At 53.1% G+C, this 22,842-nt stretch overlaps 1 protein-coding gene, 1 long non-coding RNA gene and 3 other non-coding genes across 10 annotated transcripts in view, besides 5 other annotated features; 4 read left to right on the plus strand and 1 right to left on the minus strand.

Moving 5' to 3' along the window:
- The first annotated feature begins 803 nt into the window (after nucleotides 1-803).
- Nucleotides 804-22,842, plus strand: part of SPACA6 (sperm acrosome associated 6) — a 30,458-nt gene continuing 8,419 nt past the window's right edge. For 2 of the 6 annotated variants that reach the window (XM_017026299.3, NM_001316972.2), the window contains exons 1-8: nucleotides 11,448-11,858; nucleotides 12,596-12,673; nucleotides 19,776-19,844; nucleotides 20,747-20,770; nucleotides 21,139-21,216; nucleotides 21,346-21,455; nucleotides 22,148-22,304; nucleotides 22,388-22,598. In XM_017026299.3, the coding sequence (XP_016881788.1) occupies nucleotides 11,645-11,858; nucleotides 12,596-12,673; nucleotides 19,776-19,844; nucleotides 20,747-20,770; nucleotides 21,139-21,216; nucleotides 21,346-21,455; nucleotides 22,148-22,304; nucleotides 22,388-22,598 (941 nt within the window). In that variant the 5' untranslated portion in view covers nucleotides 11,448-11,644. Of the gene's footprint in view, nucleotides 6,609-7,499; nucleotides 7,701-11,447; nucleotides 12,674-19,775; nucleotides 19,845-20,746; nucleotides 20,771-21,138; nucleotides 21,217-21,345; nucleotides 21,456-22,147; nucleotides 22,305-22,387; nucleotides 22,695-22,842 lie in introns of those variants that run through there. The other 4 variants (XM_017026300.3, NM_001316994.2, XR_007066593.1 and 1 more) reach the window with 4 other exon arrangements.
- SPACA6-AS1 (SPACA6 antisense RNA 1) lies at nucleotides 3,481-11,574 on the minus strand. Its single transcript, NR_108100.1, has 2 exons — nucleotides 10,752-11,574; nucleotides 3,481-6,619 (listed from the first exon to the last, which is right to left on the minus strand). It is a non-coding gene; the product is annotated as an SPACA6 antisense RNA 1 (long non-coding RNA).
- Nucleotides 6,110-6,328: a silencer, noted in NCBI's record as "fragment chr19:52191245-52191463 (GRCh37/hg19 assembly coordinates)". NCBI's record gives its function as "represses an EF-1alpha promoter that drives an FKBP-Casp9 reporter gene in an ReSE screen in HepG2 liver carcinoma cells {active_cell/tissue: HepG2}" and the evidence as "EXISTENCE:reporter gene assay evidence [ECO:0000049][PMID:32094911]".
- Nucleotides 8,106-8,913: an enhancer, noted in NCBI's record as "H3K27ac-H3K4me1 hESC enhancer chr19:52193241-52194048 (GRCh37/hg19 assembly coordinates)". NCBI's record gives its function as "activates a minimal SCP1, AML or CMV promoter by ChIP-STARR-seq in naive H9 embryonic stem cells {active_cell/tissue: H9 hESC(naive)}" and the evidence as "EXISTENCE:reporter gene assay evidence [ECO:0000049][PMID:30033119]".
- Nucleotides 8,450-8,549: an enhancer, noted in NCBI's record as "active region_15028". NCBI's record gives its function as "activates an Ori minimal core promoter by ATAC-STARR-seq in GM12878 lymphoblastoid cells {active_cell/tissue: GM12878}" and the evidence as "EXISTENCE:reporter gene assay evidence [ECO:0000049][PMID:35858748]".
- Nucleotides 8,914-9,723: an enhancer, noted in NCBI's record as "H3K27ac-H3K4me1 hESC enhancer chr19:52194049-52194858 (GRCh37/hg19 assembly coordinates)". NCBI's record gives its function as "activates a minimal SCP1, AML or CMV promoter by ChIP-STARR-seq in naive H9 embryonic stem cells {active_cell/tissue: H9 hESC(naive)}" and the evidence as "EXISTENCE:reporter gene assay evidence [ECO:0000049][PMID:30033119]".
- MIR99B (microRNA 99b) lies at nucleotides 10,730-10,799 on the plus strand. The gene has a single exon (NR_029843.1). It is a non-coding gene; the product is annotated as a microRNA 99b (primary transcript).
- Nucleotides 10,904-10,982, plus strand: MIRLET7E (microRNA let-7e). Its single transcript, NR_029482.1, has one exon. It is a non-coding gene; the product is annotated as a microRNA let-7e (primary transcript).
- Nucleotides 11,372-11,457, plus strand: MIR125A (microRNA 125a). Its single transcript, NR_029693.1, has one exon. It is a non-coding gene; the product is annotated as a microRNA 125a (primary transcript).
- Nucleotides 22,285-22,484: a silencer, noted in NCBI's record as "silent region_10990". NCBI's record gives its function as "represses an Ori minimal core promoter by ATAC-STARR-seq in GM12878 lymphoblastoid cells {active_cell/tissue: GM12878}" and the evidence as "EXISTENCE:reporter gene assay evidence [ECO:0000049][PMID:35858748]".

Raw genomic sequence — 22,842 nt, forward strand, 5'->3', positions numbered from 1 at the left:
CTACTCAAATAAACTGTGTTCAATTTAATTTGTCTGAAGTTCTTCTTTTAATAGGTCAGTGAATGGTATAAAGGCCCAGTCCCCTTTCCCCGATTCAGGACATCTCTGTGGAGCCATCTAGCTGTAGAGTTTCCTGTAGGATTGGCTGGGGCTTCTGTTATGACTGCATAGTAGTTCACCTTCTCCCACTGCCTAATCCTACTTCCTTCGCTCCCCTACGAGTGTGAATCCTGAGAGCAGGAAATTAATAGGGGTGTTCTCAGGATTCACACTTGTAGGGGAGTTCTAACCTCTGCTTCAGAGTCAGTTTCCTGAAGAATCATCTGTAACTTATAGGTTTTCACAATCACCATTATTTATTTCAGCCTCTTACTCCTGTAATTGTATAATTACACACACATTTATACTTTGATAAAAATTTAACTTTGAACACACACACGATGTTCACTCCAAGCTACATTAGAATGCTTAAATTTGAAGGTGACTATTAAGATTTTAAAGTTAGGAACATGATTTGTTCATATTTCTAATGTTATTGTGCTAGTTAGATAGGCTGGTAACCCAATCTGTCATGTATTCATCGTGACCACACAAGTTCAGGGATGCCAGAAATGAACTTCAAATTGGCACTCAGTGGTTCCACCTCCAAAAGACTGAGGTGAGATCAAAGTCAAATAGAAAAAAATGAACAAATATTGAGGCTGAAGCTGAATTTTAATGCAACCCAACTATGTGCATGTTTGTGTGTGTATGTATGTTTACTTAAACATGAAGTAAAGAATGACAAGACACACAGATAAACATGGATACTATATTGGTTTTCTAGGGCTGTTGTAATAAAGTATTATAAACTGAGCAGCTTAAAACAACAGAAATTATCCGGGCACAGTGTATCATGCCTGTAATCCCAGTACTTTGGGAGACTGAGGGCGGGCAGATCACTTGAGGTCAGGCGTTTGAGACCAGCCTAGCCAACATGGTAAGATCCTGTCTCTACTAAAAATACGAAAATTAGCCAGGCATGGTGGCAGGTGACTGTAGTCCCAGCTACTTGGGAGGCTGAGGCAGGAGACTCACTTGAGCCCAGGAGGTGGAGACTGCAGTGAGCCAAGATCATGCCACTGCACTCCAGCCTGGGTGGCAGAGGGAGACTCCACCTCAAAACAAACAAGCAAAAACAGAAATGTATTCTCTCGCAGATGTGGAGGCTAGAAGTTAGAAATGAAGGTATCAGCAGGACCAGCTTCCTCTGTAGGCCCCTTGGTTTCTTGTTCTAGCTTCTGGTGGTTGCCAGTCATCCTTGGTGTTTCTTGGCTTGTAGATGCATCACTTGAATCTCTCTGCCTCCATCATCACATGGCCTTCTTCCCAAGTATTTTATCTGCATCTTCAAATATCTCTCTCCTTATCAGATTACCAGTCATTGGATTTAGGGCCCACTCTAATCCAGTATGCCTTCATTTTAACTTGATTACATCTGTAAAGGCTCTCAAAGAAGGTCACATTCACAGGTACAGGGGATTCAAACTTTAACATATATATTTGGTGGGGTGGGGACACAATTTAACTCACAACAGGTATGACAGATAACTTTGGGAGGAGAAGCACCTGGTGAATGGGTAGGAAGGGAGGGGTCAATCAAGGTAACCAAAGAAAAAAATAAATGAGGATGGGAAAGAATACAGTAAAAATACCTTCATAAGAATAAATTGCCCTGTTAATATAAAATTCTGTGCATGTGTATGAATAAATTAGAATAAAGAGCTAGCTCTGTATTAATTTGTAGGCATAACATTCGATAATTCTTTTATATGGTTTATTGTGTGCCAGGCACTGTTTTAAGCACTTTCCATACATTAACTCCTTTAATCCTTATGTCTCAACCCATGATATAGGTACTATTATTATTACACCCATTTTACTGATGATGAAACTGAGACATAGAGAGACATAGCTAGTAAAATGGCTGAGCCAGGATTCAAACCTGAGCCATCGGGCTTCAGAATCTGTGCTCTTAATCACCTTGGCATATGTAGTATGACTCTGTTCTTCAGAAACTAAAACAATATATATGTGTACAAATGCATATGTATACATTTATATTTTAGAAGACATAAAATTAAAGTATCAAGATCAAAAATAAAATCTTGGATTCTAACCAGCTCTGTCAGGGCTCACAGACAATGAATGATAAATATTCTGGTTGGCCTATTTTGTGTCATATACCCAGATGCCCAGACTAGGTTTTTTTGGGGGGAGAAGGAGGGGCATCAGTGCTTGGACATTCTTGTCAGAGTCATGTGGAGTGGGTTACTTAAAGGAAAGAGATGATCTATTATCAGAGGTAGGAGGAGATGGCAGCTGACGGACTTGCAAAAACTATAACTAGTCTGTCTCCTTGAACCTCAGTGTAACCTTCCCTACCTTTTTCTTAGATGTAAACAGCAGAGCAGCTGAAGGTCCTTCACTCATCAAACAAAAAGAAGGTATGGCCCAAGGTGAAGAGAAAGGCTATAGGGAAACCCTCCCCAAAACATCACACCCATTTTCCCATGCCCTTTGTTCAGAAAATAATTAATTGTGGAAATGAGATCTGTTGCCTCCCCACTTCCCCCAGCCCAGACCCGACAACAATGGGGACCCTGTCTCTACTTCCTACAAGTCCACCAGGGGCAAATTACCATTTGGGGTTATTTAATGGTGTAATAGGAGAATCTGCTGCTTTTAGTTCAGGGGTGTCCAATCTTTCAGCTTCCCTGGGCCAAACTGGAAGAATTGTCTTGGGCTGCACATAAAATACATTAACACTAATGATAGCTGATGAGCTTAAAAAAATTTGCAAAAAAAACCCAAAACCTCAATGTTTTAAGAAAGTTTATGAATGTGTGTTGGGCCACATTCAAAGCCATCCTGGGCCACATGAGGCCCATGGGCTGTGGGTTGGACAAGCTTGATTTAGATCATCTCGTGATTTTAGGCTCTGCCAGTGTGGGGATTATCCCACCTGCAGGGATTATGTGGTGCTCTAGGATTATCTTGGGTTTGGGGTTGATCCCCCCACATGGAAGGATTGTCTGGTGGTGCTATCGGATTATCTTGGTTTTAGGGTTGATCCCTCACATGGAAGGATTCTCTGCTACTTTGATGTTCCTCATGACCCGGTGCCGCCTGTTCTATAGTATCAACGTGTAAGTCCTTGACTCAGACCTAATTCAAGGTAGGTTAAGGTGTCCTCCTGTCTACCAGTTCCTGTTTCAGGAACTTGGGATGACCTTGTGAAGGGTAGGAAGTTTCTATTTTCCTTTGAAGTGCTGTTCCAAGAGGTAATAATAGTGGAACTTGAGTTTCAGCAGTTGATGAGAATGGTGGCCCCTGTGTCTAAGAAGTATGAGAATTACAATATTGGGTAGCAGAGACTGATAAAGATGGTGATATAGGTTGAGCATCCCTTATCCAAAATACTTGAGACAGAAAGTGTTTCAGGTTTGATTTTTTTATTTTGTATTTTGGACTATTTTCATATATATAAAATCAGATATTTGGGGATGAGACCCAAGTCCAAACACAAAATTCATTTGTTTTCATTTCATTTATATATGCCTTCTACACATAGCCTGAAGATAATTTTATACAATATTTTTGTGCATGAAACAAGGTTTTTTGTTTGTTTTAAGACAGGGTCTCACTCTATCAACCAGGCTGGAGTGCAGCCTCAACTTCCTGGGCTTAAGCAATCCTCCCACCTCAGCCTCCCTAGTAGCTGGGAGAAGAAGCATGCATCACCATGCCCTGCTAAGTTTTAAATTTTTTTATTGTAGAGATGGGAATCCCACTATGTTGCCCAGGCTGGTCTCAAATTCCTGGGCTCAAGTGATCCTCCTGCCTTAGCCTCCCAAACAGCTGGATTACAGGCATAAGCCACTGTGCCCAGCCCCATGAAACAAAGTTTTGACTGCAATCTATCACATGAGATCAAGTGATGGAATGAAATTTTTCACTTCTGACGTTACGTCGGTGCTCAAAAAGTTTTTGATTTTGGAGCATTTCAGATTCGAGATTTTTGCATTAAGGATGCTCAACCTGTACTTGTGTGCCAATGTCTGATGGGAATGGTGGCCCCCTGTTTCAGGGAGTGAAGGCAATGATGGATCCTGAGTTCTGGATATTTGTAGGAATTGCAGTAGATGAGTCTTATGTGCTGAGAGATTTGGAGCCCTGTATTTCAGAGAATGAAGGAACCAGTGGTCCCTGTGACTTGCTAACTGATGAGAACAGAACAGAGGCCTTATGTTTCAGAAACTAATGGGAATTATGGTCACTGTTCCTGGGGGGCTTAAGCAAGTCCCAGCCTAATCCACAAGTCATTTATTATTCACTCATCTCCTCATTCATTCACTTAGCAAACATTTTCCTGAGCCCCTGCTCTGAGCCATGCCTGGGTGGAGTGATATTGAGGACACAGAAATGACTCAGACCCAGACTGTGCCCTCAGTAAATTCCCAAAGACAGACCCAGACGTAGAAAATCACAACACAACAGGATCAGGGCCAGGACAAGGACTGTGATGTGGTGCCTGTCCTGATCTGTCTACAGGGCATCCAGGGTGAATGTAGAATGACAGTAACTCTAGATCGTAAGTGAAAGTGAGGGGTCTGACAAAGGGTCCTTCTTAATCATACATGAATTTGTGTGCATGACAAGTTTAAATGTACCCAGTGTCAATCCTTAGAAATAGCATATTTTCCCAGAGCAAGCCCACCCCAAAGAAGGAGCCAGAGAGGCCTGGGTTTGAATCTCTAGCTCCATCACATACTTTGTGAGCTTGGGCAACTCGCTATTCAGAACTGCATCCTATTCAGTATTCCATCCTTACAATTGGGATAATAATAGTTTCTAATAATAAGGTTTCTGTGTAATCAATGATATAATGTATAACAAATACTCATCCCAGGAACTGGCTCCAAGTAGTCATTCAATAAAGGGTATCTGTTGTCATTATTATTATCCCATTGTTAGTAATTATCAACAAATTTTAAAGGATCTAGAAGTAAGCATTTATCGAATATCTGGGTTTAGAGGCTTAAAAGCATTGGACAAAATCACTTTAAAAATCAGCAAATTTGGGCCAGGTGTGGTGGCTCAGCCAAGGTGGGAGGATCACTTGAGGTCAGAAGTTCAAGACCAGTCCAGCAAACGTGGCAAAACCCCATCTCTACAGAATACACAAAAATTAGCCGGGCCTGGTGGCGCAGGCCTGTAGTTCCAACCACGTGGGAGGCTGAGGTGGGAGAATGGCTTGAACCTGGAAGGCAGAGGTTGCAGTGATCTGAGATAATGCCACTGCACTCCAGCCTGGGCAATCCGTCTCAAAAATAAATACATACATACATACATACATACATACATACATACATACATACATAAGCAAATCTGTAAATATCAATATGCATAACCATTAGTTTCTTGACATAAAAAACCTCCCAATCTCCCAATTAACTGAATACACTAGGAATAAATAGATGAATACAATGGAATATTATATCACTATTAAAATGAATGAGGAGGTTCTATAAGCCTAGATATGGGAGGATCTTTGGATATCATGTAAAAAAAAAAAAAAAAACCAAGGTGCAGAATAATGTGATCCTATCAGGGGACAGAAAAGAGGAGGGTGGTATATATGTGCATAGATGTATAAAATTCCTCTGGAAAGATACATAAGAAATTAGTGAATATATGCTGTCCCCAGAGAGGAGAACTGGGTGGCTGGAGGATAGGGAGGGAGGGAGATGCACTGTTGAAAGCCCAGCACCATGCATCCTGAACGTTTTCCCTGGCTCTTAATGTCCACTAAGTTCTCAGATGCCCACAGCATCTCTCTCCTCTACCCTCTTCTTCCTCCTAGTTCCCCATTGAAAGCAACTCCTGCCCCATCCGTTCCTGGGCCAGACTCAGGGAGTTGTAGTTTTCCTACCTGTTTCCCGCCCACAGGTTCCTGTTCTCTGCCCCCAGTGCCCAGCAGTCTCCAGCCATCTCCAGCTCCTCACATTCCTGCCCCACCCCTTCCTCTCTCCCCAGGTCCTAGCCCGCAAACTGCAGGGAGGGGGCCTCCTCCCCAGCCTCCACCCGTCTCTCCCCCTCCACTCCACACAGCCTCAGCGGGGTCTGACATTCAGCTATAACCGTGTCCCCGCCCCTTGCTCACAACCTTCCAGGGCTCCCTGTCACCCTCAGAAGGCTAAGTTCCCAGCCTGGCCTGAAACTCCCTAAGAATCTGACCCCGCCCGCTCGCCCCACCAGCCTCATCTCCTGTGCTCCTTGGCTCCTGGCTTCGGAGGCTCTAGTCAGACTTAAGGGCTTTGTTGTCCTCCCAGCACCTCCTTGGTTTCCTGCCTTGGGCCTTCGCTTCAGCTGTGCCCTCTGCCTGGAAGGGCCTTAGTGGAGGTCATGCCACAACCACGCCTTCTCTGGAGGTCCTCTCTGCCGTCTCCAGCTGCCAGGATTCCTCCCGCCCTGGGCTCTCACAGCCTCTGGCCTCTCCCTGTGTCATACCCAGATCACCCGGGATTGGGACTGTCTGCGGCTGGCTCTGTCTCTTCCATCAGACTGTGAGCTCCATCTGCAAGGGCAGATTCGGGTCTGATTCACCTTTGAGCCCCCAGTGGGTGGGGGTGGGGGGTGGAGATACTAAAGCTGGTGGGGGCGAAGCTGGGAGAGCAGGAAGGGGGAGAGAGAGACGGGCAGACCCTGACTGGTTCGGGGAGAGAGGGGAGGAGAAAGCGAGAGAGAGGAAGAACAGAGACACAGAGACAGGAAGGGAGGGAGAGAAACAGAGAAAAGGGAAGAATAAATGGGAGACACAGATAATGCCCCACAGGCAGAGAAAGAGGATGGAGATAGGGAGAGGGCGAAAGGAAGGACAGATGTGCAGAGACAGAAGGGAGGACAGACGGAAAGAGACACAGAGAGGCAGCAAAAGCAACCAAGAATGACAGGAGCAGAGAGGAGGAGGGAAAGAGGGAGAGAGAGAGAGAGAGAACGAGAGAGAAGGGAGGGAGGGAGAGAGGGAGAGAGAGAGCGAGAGAGCACGCACAGAGCGAGGAGGAGGCGCAGGAGAGAAGAGGGAGGGAGGCCAGCGAGGGACAGGACGGGGCGGAGAGGCGGAGGGGAGCTAGGGAAAGCCGGGGAGGAGCGAGACTGGCCGAGGAGGAGGGCGGGCGAGCGGGAGCGCCGGCCCCGCCGCCTCCCGGCCTCTTTTGTCCCTTCCCTCCTCTGCGTCAGGCTTCTCTGGCCCGGCCTCCCCCTCCCGCTCCCTCCTCCTCCCCGGGGCTGGATGGAATTTTTTCCCCTGGACCTGGGCCAGCTCCGGGGCAGGGGGGAAGCCAGGCCGGACTGGGCTGGGCGGTGGGGAGGGGCCGGGGCGGGGGGCCCCCTGGGGAGGGGGCTGGTCCGACGGCCGCGCAGCCGGCGGGGTCCAGGGAGGGGGAGCCCCGGACCGCAGAGCCGGGGAGGAGGTGACGGCCGGAGGGAGTCGGGGAGAAGGGAAGGAGGATGGCGGGGACGGCGGGAGGAAGGGGAGAGGCCGCCGTGCGGCGAAGGCGGGGAGAGGATGGAGAGCGCTCGGCGGCGGTGGGGCCCGGCCTGCGGGCCCGGGGCGGCGGAGAAGACCCCTTCCCTGCGACGCGGGAGCCGCGGGAGCCGTGAGTCTGCGGAAAGGGAGGGTGGGGGGCTGGGGCCCGCACTCCTGGGTCCCTGAGGGAGGAGCACCCGGGGGCCTGGATTTCAGGGTTCTTGGAGGAGGAGTTGGGGGTGGGGAGGGTGGGGTGGCTGGGAGCCCAGACTCCTGAATCCTTGAAGGAGGGGGCTGGGACCTGGATCCCGGGGTCCAGAATCTGGAGAAGGCTGGGGACACTTCCTGGATTCAAGAGGGAGGACAGAGATGGGGGCTGGGGCTGGTAGGATCGTGGCTGGAAGAGACTAGGGGCGAGCTGCCCGAGCCCTCGGGGGAGGTGGAGGAAGACTGGCTTTGGAGTGCCTGCGGCAGCGGAAGGGTTAACGTCTGGCTGGAGGGGAGGGGGAGGCGCAGGGATGGGGCTGCGGGGCTTTGAGGGGTCAAGGGTGAGCCGTGCCAGTGGGAGGGGGCCGAGGAGGAGGGGGAGGTTGTCTGGGCTGCCAGACAGGCCAGGGTCAGCGGCGGGGGCAGGAGATGTCTGGAGGAGGAGAGGCCCAGCATCCATGCTCCCTCGGGGACCCGGGATTCCAGGTCCCAGACCCCTCCTCCCTCAGATCTGGGAGTACACCACCCAGTCCCCCACCCATTCCAGAATCCGAGCCCCCAGCCCCCTTTTTTCCAGGATCCAGGAGTCTGAGCCCCCAGTCTGTTCTCTCAGACCAGGGAATCCACACTCCAGCCCCTAACTCCTTCAAAACCCCAGAGTTCAGAACCTCAGCCCCTCTTCCCAAGGAGCGCGGCCCCCAACCCTCTGTTCCTCTAGAACCCAAGCGTTCAGGCTCCGGCATCTTTCTCCCTTTGAAGCCTGCAGTTCTGGGGATCCCCAGGCCCCTCCTCCTCCGGAACCCAGGAGTCCCCACCTCCTCTTTAGCCCCAGCTGGAGTCCAGCCCTCCAGGGGTTAAGGGGGCGGGACCAGCTAGTTGCCATGGTGCCAGACTGTTTGGGTCTGCTCTCTGACCCTTGGGGGCTCCCCAGGGTCCGCAGAGAGGGGGAGGGGGACCTAGGCCTGGGGGAAGTCCAGAGCCTACCCCTTCCCCAAAGCGGGGCTATGGGCCCAGGGAGTTCGCGTTTCCACCAACGCCTTGTCCAGTGACCTTGAACAAGTCCTGACCCTTCTCTCTCCGCCTCAGTTTCCCCAAGGAGACACTGGTTGGCGGGTGGGGGAGATGCTTAGGTCCGGGGAATCTCTGAGATTCTCGGCTTCCCCTCTCCCCTCACCCTCCTCCTCAGGCCCCAGGCAGCCCCGGGGCATGCTGGGAACCCAGGCCTGGGCTCCGGGCCAGGTTGGTGTGGGGGGGTGGGGGCGGGGGCAGCCTCCTCCCTTCCCCTTCCTCCCCACCTTGGCCTGACTCTCGCCCCCGCCTGAGGGTCTGGGAGGTTGGGAAGGAGGGAAGGGGGAAGAGAGCTGGCCGTAGACCCGTCTCCGGCCCCCGCCTCCCCCTTTCCTCCTCCGCCCCTTTCCCGCCTCTCCTCCCCCTCCTCAGGTCGCTACCCCAGCCCTGGGCCCCTTCTCAAACCACCCCCACCCCACCCCCAGCTCCAGACCTGGCTCGAGCTGCGAGGGGGAGGGAGAGAGGGAAGGAGAAAAGAGAGAGAGAGAAGGGAGGGAGACCCAAAGAGAGAAGGGGGAGGGGAGGAAAGAGAGAGACCTAAGAGGGAGGGAAGGAGAGAGAGAGGGAGAGAGACAGAGACTGAGAGAGAGCAGGAGACGGAGGTGAGGGATGGAGAGAGGGAAGGGGCGGAGGGAGAGGAAGTGAGGAAAGACATCCGAAAAAAGGGGGTGGAGAAGGGTGAGAAAGAGGAGAGAGACTGAGAGAGGGCCAGAGAGAGAATGAGAGAGACAAAGAGGGGGAAGGGGGAGAAGGGGAGGATGAAAGACAGAAGGTAGAGGAAAAGCAGGAGAAAGAGGGGGAGAGAAGGAAGAAAACAGAAGCGGGGAGAGGAGAGAGGCGATGGGCAGAGAGAGAAGCCAGCGCAGAGCCAGGGAGGGATGTCCTGATGCAGGAGGAGGCTGGGAACCAGGGAAGGTGGAAAGAAAGAGGGAGAGAGAAAAAGGCAGGGCCAGAGAGACCTGGACTGCGAGAAAGGAACCGGAAGGTGCGCCTGGAGCAGGGGCAGCGAGAACCAGACAGTCCAGGAGGAGGGGCTGGGCACGGGAGAGACCCCAGCTGGAGGGGCTCAGAGCCCAGGGGTGGGGAGGGTGGGTGCTGGGTCCCGGGGTCCAGAAGCTGGAGAAGGCTGGGGACACCTCCTGGATTCAAGAGGGAGGACAGAGATGGGGCTGGGCAGACTTTGGGAGCCTCTTCCCCTCTCTGAGGCTCAGCCCCCTCACCTGCCAAATGGGGATGCTGAGGGCACCTCGCTCTCTGGAGTGGGAGGTGTCAGGGAGAGGACTGGTGCTCAGGGCCTGGTATGGGGTCAGCGCTGGGAGATTGTGGCTGTCATAGTTGTAAATGACCCAAAGAAGGGAGGAGAGAGGAAAGAAAGCACCTAGGGAGGCTCTGATGGTTGGCTAGCCCCTGGCCTCCTTAGCCCTGGGCCTGGAGTCTCTGCAGACTGACAGGAGGGTAGGTAGGAAGCAGGTGTGCCCAAAGGGCCAAATTACGAGACAAATGAGGTTCCCTCCCAGCCGGCACCCAGGAAGCCAGGTTTTCTATCAGGCCATGCCTTCCCCAGGAGGCCTGCCTGGCCGGAGGGAGGAGGGGCTGGGGGCAGGGACTCCTGGGTCTCTGGGGAGAAGGAGGCTTTGGATCTGGACTCATGAGTCTGAGGGAGGAAGGGGCTGAGTCCTTGGATTCCAGGAACATTTGGGGAGAAAAGGGCCAGAGGCCTGGATTCCTGGGTCTGTGGTGAGGAAGGGCCTAGACTTCTGGGTTCTTTAGGGAGGAGGGGGATGAGAGCCTTGACTCCAGGGTCCCTGATGAGGAAGGGGCTGAGGGCCTGGACTCCTGGGTTCCTTGGGGAGGAGGGGCCGGGGGCCCGGACTCCTGGGTCCTGGCACCCACCCGTAGAACCGACCTTGCGGGGCCTTCGCCGCACACAAGCTCGTGTCTGTGGGTCCGTGTCGGGGGCTCACCATCGCGGCTGGGGCCTCCCCGGCCCTCCCCCTCATCCCTGGTCCTCCTGGTCCCTGTCTGTCTGTCTGTCGGGTCTGTCCACCTGCCGCGCCCCCCGGGCTGAGGTAGGAGGTTGTATAGTTGAGGAGGACACCCAAGGAGATCACTATACGGCCTCCTAGCTTTCCCCAGGCTGCGCCCTGCACGGGACGGGGCCCGGCGGGGACCCCCAGCCCCACTCAGGGACCCTTAGCCCCACTGGGCTGCCCCAGGGACCCTGGGAGGAAGAGCCGGGCTCTTTTCTGTCCTTGTCCCTGCATCCCCTCCTTCCCCTGAAATCTGTTTTCCTTCCCTGTCTGTCTCCATCTCTGCTGTGTCTCTGTGGCTTCTGTGTCTCTTTCACAGTGGATCCTCTGACTCCCTCTTATTCTGGCTTTCTAGGTCTCTGCCCCTCCCGATATCTCTCTGTGTCTCTATTTCTGTCGTTTTTGGTCTTTCTGTCTCTGGCTCTCAGAATGTCTCTGTGCCTATCTCCATCTCTGACCCCCACCCCAGGGTCTACCGGGCCACCGCACACCATGTTGCCAGTCTCTAGGTCCCTGAGACCCTTTAACCTGTGAGGACATCCAGGGTCACAGGTGAGGTTCTTGGGAGCCTGGCGTCTGGCCCAACCACACACCTGGGGAATTGCTGGCCTGACTTCTGACCCCTGACTCCTCATACCCTTCCTCCAGAGCATGACATTTGACCACCAACTGAAACCTGACCTCTGACCCCAGACCACTGGCCCTTCCCCCGCCCTGTGGTGACTTCATAAAGGTTACTAGCTTCTCCCCTGGCCTTGAGACCCACACGATGGCCCTGCTGGCTCTGGCCAGTGCCGTCCCGTCTGCCCTGCTGGCCCTGGCTGTCTTCAGGGTGCCCGCCTGGGCCTGTCTCCTCTGCTTCACAACCTACTCTGAGCGCCTCCGCATCTGCCAGATGTTTGTTGGGATGCGGAGCCCCAAGCTTGAAGAGTGTGAGGAGGCCTTCACGGCCGCCTTCCAGGGCCTCTCTGACACCGAAATCAGTGAGGAGACCATCCACACTTCATCAGTGTCCTGGGGAAGGTGCAGAGGGAGGGCAGGAGAGGCCCAGAGGGTCAGGCTGAGGGACAGACAGAGAGAAACAGTCAGAGGAGAAAGGCTCAAAGACCATGAGAACAACAGAGACTTAGGGACAGAGAGACACAGACAGGGGAAGACAGCAGGGCAAAGACTCAGAGAGGGGAGGATGGAGAGTCAGAGAGGGGAAGATGGAGACTCAGAGAGGGGGAGGATGGAGACTCAGAGAGAGAGGAAGATGGAGACTCGGAAAGATGGAGACTCAGGAGTATGGAGAGTCAGAGAGGGGAGGATGGACACTCGGGAGGATGGAGAGTCAGGAGGATGGAGACTCATAGAAAGGGGAGGATGGAGAGTCAGGAGAGGTTGGAGACTGGAGAGGGAATAGAGACCCAGAGAGGGGAGGATGGAGACTCAGAGGGTGGAAGATGGAGACTCAAAGAGGATGGAAACCCAGAGAGAGGAGGACAGAGATGAGGCAGAGACTAGGGGAAGCAGGATAGCGACTGGTCGGGGGCAGAGACTCAGGGAGGATAGAGACTTGGGAGGGACTCAGGAAGCATAGCGACTGTGGGGCAAAGAGTCAGAGAGGGGAGGATACAGACTTGGGAGGGCAGAGACTCAGAAACAGAATGTTCGCATTAGGGACATGGTGTTGCGGGGAGCTGCCTCCCCCAGCCCCTGCTCCCTCCCTCACCGCCAGACTATGATGAGAGAAGCCACCTGCATGACACCTTCACCCAGATGACCCATGCCCTGCAGGAGCTGGCTGCTGCCCAGGGTGAGTGTGTGGGGATGGGGAGATGGGAGATGTGGACTTGGAGCCCCTAAGAAATGGGTATGTGGGAGGGCCCAGGGCAGAGGAAGGAGGCCCCCAGAGTTGGGCAGTGATCCGGGAGGGGAAAGCTGGGAAGACATTGAGCTCAGCTACTTGTCCAAACGAAGGCTGAAGGCAGCTCTAAGAGCCAGGGGCTGAAGGTGGTGAGGGGGAAGGGACGCTGCAGAAATTGCCTAGAGCTGGAAGTCCAGATGGGGTCGGGTAGGCATAGGTTCTGCCATGGCTGCATGGCTCACACTCTTACTGGCTATGAAGTTCTGGGTGTGTCACTGCCCCTCTCCTGGCCTCAACTTACCCATCTGTAAAGTGGGACAATCTTCTTGCCTCCTAGGATGGCCATGGAGCTCAGTGCAGGGGTTGGGGCTGCCTGATGAGCCTGATCTTAGGGAAGGCATCTTCCTCTAGGATAGAACACACACACACTCGCACACAGACACGCTCAGAGACATACACTCACACTCACACACACACACAGATTTCTTATAAAGTGATTCCACATTTTTGAGGTGTGAGGCAATTAGAGGGCGGGAAAACAGGAACAGCAGAGTGGATCACTCAGGTGACAGCAGTGAAAAGAGACAAGGTGTGACTGTCCTGGTGAGACAGGCACATGTGACAGCCTTGAGGTGTGTGGCTGTGCGAAGAGACCTCAGGGCTGGGGGCCACGCAATGCCGATGGGCAGCATGGGCGGTAATCATGCCTGATCACCATGGCCATGATCCCCACGAGGTGCCAGACCCTGGAACTGTGGAGGCTCGGAGTTGCAGGAGTTACAGAGCCCTGCGCTATAGAATAAACTGGCTTCCTCTTAGGTCCAGGAGCTCAGGGCTTATTCCCACACCCACAGTCGCTCCTTTTGCTTCCTGCTTTGCCCTCCAAGCGTCCTGTCAACAATCCCGGAAGAGGGAAGGTTCCCATCCACCCAGGGGGCATCCAGGGCCAGCCTGGAGAAGGCCTCAGCTGTGGCTCTCCCCATCTCCACCCTAAAGGGAGACCTGAGGCCCTAAACCTCTCCATGTGGGGGTGTGCAGGATTCCAAGAAATGCCCTTTCTCCCCACATAGGCTGCCTTGTTACAGAAGCTTTTGAAAAGATGAGGAACCTTTGGATCTGGGAATGGAAGCCTTCTGTGGGGCCGCATGGGGGACAAACTTGGAGGGGAGAGAGAAGAGGCTGGGTGAGGGTCCAGGCCAGAGCGGAGGCCCGAGTGGGGGCTGGGGCCGTGAAGGTGGAGAAGGGCCAGGGCCAGAGAGTTAGGTCTGCTGGGCTGTTTTGGGAAGCATAGAGAACAGCATCTGAGACAGGTCCTGCTCTGTGCCTGTTGGGCGGTGGGTCATCACCGAAATAAGGAGCCTGAGAGAAAGAGCCGGGGGCAGATGATAAGCTGGGTTAGAAGGCAGTGACTTTGAGGGGTCCCAGGGACGTTTAGGAGGCAGCTAGATACCTAGGTGCAGAGTTCAGCAGAAAAGTCAGAGAGTGTTGAGTCTCTTTCCTCAGGGCGCTGGGGAGCTGCAGCAGGAGTGTGAGCAGTGAAGAAGTAGGGGCAGCTCTGGGTGTAGAAAGAACCCTCTGGGGTCGTGTCAAAGATGGACCAGAGGGAGAGTCTGGAGGCCGGGAGAAGCTGGTGCAATACGTTCAATTATACTTACTGAATGTGCCAGGAACAACCGCTGTGACCAAAACTGCAAACCACCTGTCCTCGGGTTGCTTATATTGGGGTGGAGTCTGGGGAGATAGACAATAAACATAATCGATAAAATATCTTAGTATCTTAGTATGTCAGTTGGTGATCCCTGCCATGGAGGAAAACAGAGAAGGGGAAGAGAAAGGGGTGATAGTTTTTTTGTTTTTTTGAGATAGGGTCTCACTTTGTCACCCAGGCTGGATTGCAGTGATGTGATTATACCTCACTACAGCTTCAAACTCCTGGGCTCAAGCGATCTTCCTGCCTCAGCCTCCCAAGTAGCTGGGACTATAGGTGTGCGCCACCATCTTTGGCTAATTTTTTAAATAGTTTGTAATGATGGTGTCTTGTTATGTTGCATGGGTTGGTCTTGAACTCCTGGGCTCAAGTGATCTTCCCACCTCAGCCTCCCAAAGTGCTGGGATTACAGGCATGAACTACCGTACCTGGCTGGGTGATAATTTTAAATAGGTTGGTCAGGGCAGGTGGAAATGACAGGGTCCAGTTGAGCAAAGACCTGAGCAAGGTGACAGTGACAGCGACAGCCATGCAGATAATCTGTGGAAAGAGATTTTCAGGCCACAGGGAATAGCCAGTGCAAGACCCTGGGGCCCGTGGGGCTGGAGTAAAGGTGAAATCAGAGAGATAGCAAGGGGCCACCTCCTGTAGATCCTCATAGACAGGGGGTTCTCAAGCCCCAGCATACATCAGAATCCCCTGGGAGCTTATTTAAAATGCAGATTTCTGGGCTTCACCACCTCTGACCAGGAGGTCCAAGGTAGGGCCCAGACATGGACGTTTCTGTCAAGATCCCAGGGAATGCTGATGCTGCTGCTCCGGGAACACTCTTTGAGAATCACTGTTGTAGGCCCTTGGAATGACTTTTGTTTTTTGCTCTTGAAATGGGGGAGCTGTTGGAGGACTTTACACAGAGAGACAGGATCTGACCTGGGATTTAACAAGATCTCTCTGGCAGCTGTATGGGGCCTGGACAAAGGCAGGAAGACTTCCAGTGAGAAGCCGGCCCATGGTGGCTTGGACCAGTCACAGTGGTCCGGGGGCCCAGATGAGGTCTGAGCAGAGTGGGGTGGGCATAAGGATTTGACCGTGTGCCAGGCTTGCCCATGCGTGCAAAAGGCTGTGTTTGCCATACACAGAGTCATTCATATTAAGTATCTTCCTAAAGGATATCCTCTACCGGCCCTGTGAGGCTGGGTTTTATAGCCCCGCTTATCAGAAGGGAACGCTGGGCTCTTCTGGACAAGAACAGTAGGCCCAGGATATATTTGGAGATAGACTGGACCAGATGTAGGTGGGTGAGGGCAATGGGAAGAATCAAGGATGACTTTTGCGTCTCCTCCAGAGGGAGCAGCAGGGAGATGGAGGAGCTGATGTAGGCTGACTGCCTCTTGGTGATCCCAGGTGATCTTATTTGTATATATGTATATATAAACCATGGAGTAGATGACGTGGTACAGACTGGATGCAGTATTAGGTGTGGAGATTATGTATGCAGCGATTAGGTGTGGAGGCTCTGGAGCCTGACCACCAGGGTCAAATGTAGCCATGTGATTTTGGACCACTTCTCTAATCTCCCCATGCCTCCGTTTCCCCACCTCAAACTTGGAGATGGCAATCCTAAGTTTGCCAGCCTTCTCTAACACTCACTACGTGCTAGGAGCCATTCTACACACTTAGTGACACCATCTCATACAATCATTAAACGATGCCATGGAAGAGTGGGGATGAGGATGCTTTCATGGTTGTATGGCGTCTCATCCTCCCGCTAATTCTGTGATACAGACACTGCTGTCATCCTCATTTGATGAATGAGGAAACTGAGGATCAGGAAGGTGAAGTCACTTGGCCAAGGTCGCATGGGGAGGAGGGCTTGTGATTGATACTCAGATCTGAGACAGGTGTGCTCAAGACGGAAGCACCAGGACTCAGACCCAGATGATCTGAACCAGGGTCAGAGCTCCTGACGATATGCAACTCCTCTGGGGGAGACTTTACAACACCCACCCATGCCGCCTTATGGCCCGCTTGCTATAACCCAGGCCACTTGGCCTGTTCGGAACATTTCACTCCACTTATACTCCCCTGGTGGAGTATAAGCCCACCCGGCCACCATGGCTTACTTGGTATATCCCACGCTCACCCTGCCCATGAGTCATTTGATTTGGCACATAGAAATTCTTTGGATGACTCCTCCAACATCCTGGCCTCTCATTTGTGCACCCCAGTCTGACCACATGCTCCTGATCATCCTGCCATCTTGAGACCACACTCCTGCTCTGTGGCCAAGGAGAGACCACTGGGTCCTCATTTGGAACCCACTTCTGGGCATCAGTGCTTCCTCTCTCCAAGTGTATATCCAGTGATCATTGTTTTAGGCACTTTCTTGCCAATATCCTCAGTTCCCTCCCTTTTTGTATGGCTTTAATCACAGAGGACGCTTTCCCCTGTCCCTGCAATGGCTTTAAGCCCGTAGGAAGTTTAGCTCTCCTATATAAAGTAAGTCTTGTGGTAGGCACTTAAGGCTAATATGGCACCTCCATTTCTTGGGGATCCAAGCTCCTTCAAGACTTAATATCCCAGGGAGTAGCCCTTGTCCTCATGGTCCCGTGTGGCTGCTAGAGCTCCAACCATCAAAACAAATTTTCAGGCAGCAGGATGGATGAGGGGAACAATAAGATGGCACCACCTTCTCTGTCTTTGTTTTTTAGAGACAGGGTCTTGCTCTATTGCCCAGGCTGGGTGGAGGGCAGTGGTGCAATCATAGCTCACTACAGCCTTGAACTCCTGGGCTCAACCATCCTCCCACTTCAGCTTCCTGAGTAGCTAAGACTACAAGCACACCATCACACCTGGCTAATTTATAAAAATTTGTTTAGAGATGGTGTCTGGATATGTTGCCCAGGCTTGTCTCGAACTCCTGGCCTCAAGTGATCCTGTCACCTCAGCCTCCCGAGTAGCTGTGATTCCAGGTGCGGTACCACCTCCCTTTTAAGGCCACCTCCTGTGACTCACATAACACATCCATTTGCATCCTATGGCTACAACTTGGTCACATGACCACAACTGCAAGGAAGGCTGGGAGATGAAGCTTTTTATCTGTGTTCTGTGGATATAGGTTATAGATATATAGGTATTTGGAGGCAGTGAACAATTCCTGTGTGTTGGTTTGCTAGGACCACTGTAACAAAGTACCGTAGACTGGGTGACTCGAACAACAGAAGTTTCTGCCTTCTAGAAGTCTGAGACCAAGGTTTTGGTGTCAGCAGGGTTAGTTTCTTCTCACGCCTCTCTCTTTGGCTTGTAGATGCCTTCCTTCATATGTCCCTGTGTGCATCTCTGTGTCCTAATTTCCTCTTCTCATAAGGACACCAATCATACTGCATTACAGCCCACCCTAATGACCTCATTTTAACTTAATCACCTCTTTAAGAACCAAGTACAGTCACATTCTGAGGTACTGGGAGTTAGGACTTCAACATACAAGTTTGGTTGCGGGGGATGGGGGGTGGGCGGCACGATTTAGCCGATAAAACCCTGCCACATTACTGATTTCCACAAATCACCACGAGATCAAGTCAGCTGTCTATTCTTATTCCACTGGAACAAGCCACAAACCCATACAATTTGGAGGCCATTGCAGTGGTCAAAACACAAGGCCAGGCATGGTGGCCCACACCTGTAATCCCAGCACTTTGGGAGGCCGAGGCAGGCGGATCACCTGAGGTTAGGAGTTTGAGACCAGCCTGGCCAACATGGTGAAACCCCATCTCTACTAAAAATATAAAAATTCGCCGAGCATGGTGGTGGGTGCCTGTAATCCTAGCTACTGGGGAGGCTGAGGCAGGAGAATCACTTGAACCTGGGAGGTGGAAGTTGCAGTGAGCCAAGATCACACCACTGTACGCCAGCCTGGGCAACAGAGCGAGACTCTATCTCAAAACAAAACAAACACCTACAAAGACAAGGAACATAAAAGAGTAAAAGATGGGTAAATATAGAAGTGAATAGAGGCTGGGGACTATGGAGAAGTGGCCGGTGTGTGCCCCATTTCAAGGGAGTGACTGCTACCCATCTCCAGCTAATTGCTGCCTTATGGAAATGCGATCTCTGTGTTACAGCTCTTCCAACTTTGTAAAAAAGAGATGCCAAACGTTTTATTTGACATTCCAAATTTTATATGTTGGCAACTGGTTCATTTTCTTTTAAACACTTTCCAGGCCAAATATAACACATCCCAGGGATGGATTTGGGTCATAGGCCACCAGCTGGGGTCTCCAGTTCAAGTTGGATCCTGGAATTCATTGTACAAATACTTACTGAGCACTTCTAAGACTGAGGGCCCTCTCCAGGATCCAGAGGACACAGTGCTACAGAAGAACATGTTTATTTACTTACGAGACAGACATAAGTGATCATCATCTATATATAAATATATGTAATTGCAGACAGATGAGAGCTAGGAATGAAATGATTGCGATGAGAGACAAAAACAGGGAACTTGGTTAGATTTGTGGTGATGGAAGGATGATTAGGAGAAGGAAAAATGTGCTAAAAACAAGCCAGCATGTGCAAAGGCCCTGAGGTGCTAGGGAATGTGGTGGTTTTCATATTAAAGGAAATGAGGCCAGGCACGGTGGCTCATGCCTGTAACCCCAGCACTTTGGGAGGCTGAGGTGGGTGGATCACTTGAGGTCAGGAGTTCGAGACCAGCCTGGCCAACATGGTGAAACCCCATCTCTACTAAAAACACAAAAATTAGCCAGGCGTGGTGGTGCACACCTGCAGTCCCTGCTACTCGGGAGGCTAGGGCAGGAGAATCACTTGAACCCAGGAGGCGGAGGTTGCGGTGAGCCGAGATCGCACCACTGCACTCCAGCCTGGGTGACAGTGAGACACTGTCTGAATAAAATAAAATAAAGGAAATGAAAGGTGGGCAGTAGGGATGGGACAGGGAGGGAGGGGGAACTAGGCCAAACCATGTAAGACCTAATAGGCCTTGGTGAGGAATTTGATCTTTATCCTCCCCTTCTCCCCCCAACAAGCTACATGCAGGTGATGTCCAGGAGGACTTCCATCCTGGAGAGATTCAGGAGGCAGAAGAAAGGAGACTTAGGGACTTGTTAGCCTTCAACTACAGAGGGCGGGTGATGAGAAGAGGAGCAGAGAATATGGTAATGAGAGGGGTGAAGAGGGGCCAGGGAAGGGCAGATACCATGACAGTACGTCCTGTGAGCTAGGGCCAGCCTAGCCCTAGCCAGGCTAGATCAGAATGCAGGACCAAGGACCAAGCCCTGGGGGAAGGGCTTTACTACACAGGCCGTCCTCCCCTCCACTCTCCAGGATCCTTTGAGGTTGCCTTCCCTGATGCTGCGGAGAAAATGAAGAAGGTCATTACACAGCTTAAAGAAGGTAAAATACACTCCATCTCTCCTTCCCCAGACACACACACACACAATTAGAAAACCCCACTTTTGGCCGGGGATGGTGGCTCACGCCTGTAATCCCAGCACTTTGGAAGGCTGAGGCGGGCAGATCACTTGAGATCAGGAGTTCAAAAGCAGTCTGACCAACATGGTGATACCCATATCTACTAAAGATACTAAAATTAGCTGGGCGTGGTAACGCATGCTTGTAATCTCATCTACTCAGGAGGCTGAGGCAGGAAAATTGCTTGAACCCTGGAGGCGGGGTTGCAGTGACCCGAGATCGGCACTCCAGCCTGGGTGACAGAGCAAGACTCCATCTCAAAACGAAACCCACTCCTGAGACCCCCCATCCACTCCCCGTACAATCCCCTGGCCCCATCTCTGAGCCTCAGACCTTGAGGGACGACTATTTCCCCGCGTGGACCATTTTTGATCTGGCCCCGCCCCTTCGATGAAAGGTTTCGTCTCCAACTGAGCCCCTTTCCGGGACTACTACTAACCTGGCCACGCCTCTTCTCTAACTGGGCCACCACCTTAGCCTTGGTCTCCTGCAAGGATCGCCCAGGATCTAGCCCCGCCTCCTCGGTGGAATACACCTGGATTGCCCATCCCCATCAGGGCCTACAGAAAACCAGTGTGTTTCCCTCTAAACCCCAAGTAGAAGGCTGGCAGCAGTCCTGGGCCTGACCTCCTAGTGGAATGCTCAGGCTTGGCCCCGGCCCCAGGTGGAACCCAGCCGGCTTGACCCCGCCCCCAGGTTATGACGAAAGCTTGGCCCCGCCCCCTCGGAGCAATGCTTCGGGCCTTGTAACATTAGCTAGGGGAGCATCGGGCAAGGGTTCTTCCCATGACTGTAAGGTAGTGATGTTTCCTCTTCCTCCACAGCCCAGGCTTGCATCCCTCCCTGCGGTAAGGACTTCATCTAAAACTTGGAAATTGCGGGGTAAGGGAGGCGGTCGGGGACGAAACGTACGACATCAAGTGTGGGAAAGCGGGTGGGCTTCACATCCTTAGGAAGCCAATAAGATCCCTGGAGAAAAGGAAGAAAACCAAGTATTGCTCTAAATCCTCAGAAGGTGTGTGTGAGAGCCGAAGCAAACCAATAGGAATCCTAGAGGGCGGAGAGGAGTGAGAGTCGGCCAAAGACAGCAGGGAGGGCGGGGTCAAGATGCCACCTGGCCGATGGACCCCGGGAAGCTGCATGGATCTCAAATGGGCCAAGGGCCCCGGGCTTGGAAGGGCAGGTGGCGCCTAGACCCAGCGTTCCCGCTCCACAGGTCTCCAGGAGTTCGCCCGGCGTTTCCTCTGCAGCGGGTGCTACTCTAGGGTCTGCGACCTCCCGCTGGACTGCCCAGGTGAGGGGGCGGGGCCTCGGGGTGCAGGAGGCCAACCTGAGAAAAGGGACCAGAGCACCGAGGGGCATAAGCTGGTGGCGAGGCCAGACGTGGTCGGGGCCCAGCGAGTGAACCCTGCTCCGTCTTCAGTTCAGGATGTGACAGTGACTCGGGGCGACCAGGCTATGTTTTCTTGCATCGTAAACTTCCAGCTGCCAAAGGAGGAGATCACCTATTCCTGGAAGTTCGCAGGAGGAGGTGTGAGTCGGGGCGGGGCCGGCGCGAAGAGTTTAGACGGGCGAGTTAGCCTTCACTAGAGGTTGGGGAGTCAGCTTGCGGGGACGGGACTCCGGGAATCTCCGTCTAGACACAAGCATCAGCAAGAGGAGGGTCGCGGGATTTAGGGGAGAGCTCGAAGATCAGAATGCAGGACCAAGGACCTGGGGCGATGGCTCACGCCTGTAATCCCAGCGCTTTTGGAGACCAAGGCGGGAGGATGGCTTGAGCCCAGGAGTTTGAGACCGGCCTCGGCAACAAATTAAGACCCCTCCTCTGCCAAAAAATTTTAAAAACAGCCGGGGCGTGGTGGTGCACGCCTATAGTCCCAGCCACTGGGGAGGCTGAGCGGGAAGACTGCTTAAGTCCAGGAGTTTGAGGCTGCAGTGAGCTATGATCGCGCCACTGCACTGCAGCCTGGGCGCCAGAACGAGACCCTGTCTGGAAGAAAAAAAAAATACATAAATAAAAGCAGTTTCTAGGGGTAGGTTATGCGTAAGGGTTTAAGGAGTGAGGGGAAGGGGTGCGTTTAGGGCAGGGGAGCGAGAAGGCTCGGGGGCGGGCTCAAGGCTCAGGGCCAGGACTCCAGGGGGCGTGGTCTGGCTCGGGGGGCGGGGCTTGTAGGTTACTCAGTGGCAAGCCGGAGTTGAGGCGTTTAAACCCGCGTGTCCCGCAGCTCCGGACTCAGGACTTGTCCTATTTCCGAGATATGCCGCGGGCCGAAGGATACCTGGCGCGGATCCGGCCGGCTCAGCTCACGCACCGCGGGACGTTCTCCTGCGTGATCAAGCAAGACCAGCGCCCCCTGGCCCGGCTCTACTTCTTTCTTAACGGTGGGGCGGGGCGCGGCCGCGTGAGTGAGCGGGGTCGGGAGAGGGGTGGGGCTCGTGCCTGGCTGACGTGCGCGCCCCCGCAGTGACGGGCCCGCCCCCGCGGGCGGAGACAGAGTTGCAGGCCTCGTTCCGGGAAGTGCTGCGCTGGGCGCCGCGGGATGCCGAGCTGATCGAGCCCTGGAGGCCCAGCCTGGGCGAGCTGCTGGCCAGGCCCGAGGCTCTGACGCCCAGCAATCTGTTCCTGCTTGCAGTCCTCGGGGCCCTCGCATCAGCGAGTGCGACAGTGTTGGCGTGGTGAGTTCTGGGGACTCCGGAGCCCCAGCATCTAGCTCCCCGCTGTCTCAGATCCCACCGAGAAGTCTGGGTTCCCAGCAACCTCCAACCCAGGAGGTCAGGCTTTCAGTTCCTCCTCTCTCAGACCCACGAGTCCAGGTCCCAGCCCCTCTTTACTAGCCCAGGAATCCAAGTCCCCAGCCCCCTCCTCCCTTAGATCTAAGAGTCCAGGCCCCCAGCCCCTCCTCCCTCAGACCCAGGAGTC

This window comes from Homo sapiens, chromosome 19 (assembly GCF_000001405.40).
Source record: "Homo sapiens chromosome 19, GRCh38.p14 Primary Assembly".
Classification (NCBI taxonomy): Eukaryota; Metazoa; Chordata; class Mammalia; order Primates; family Hominidae; genus Homo; species Homo sapiens.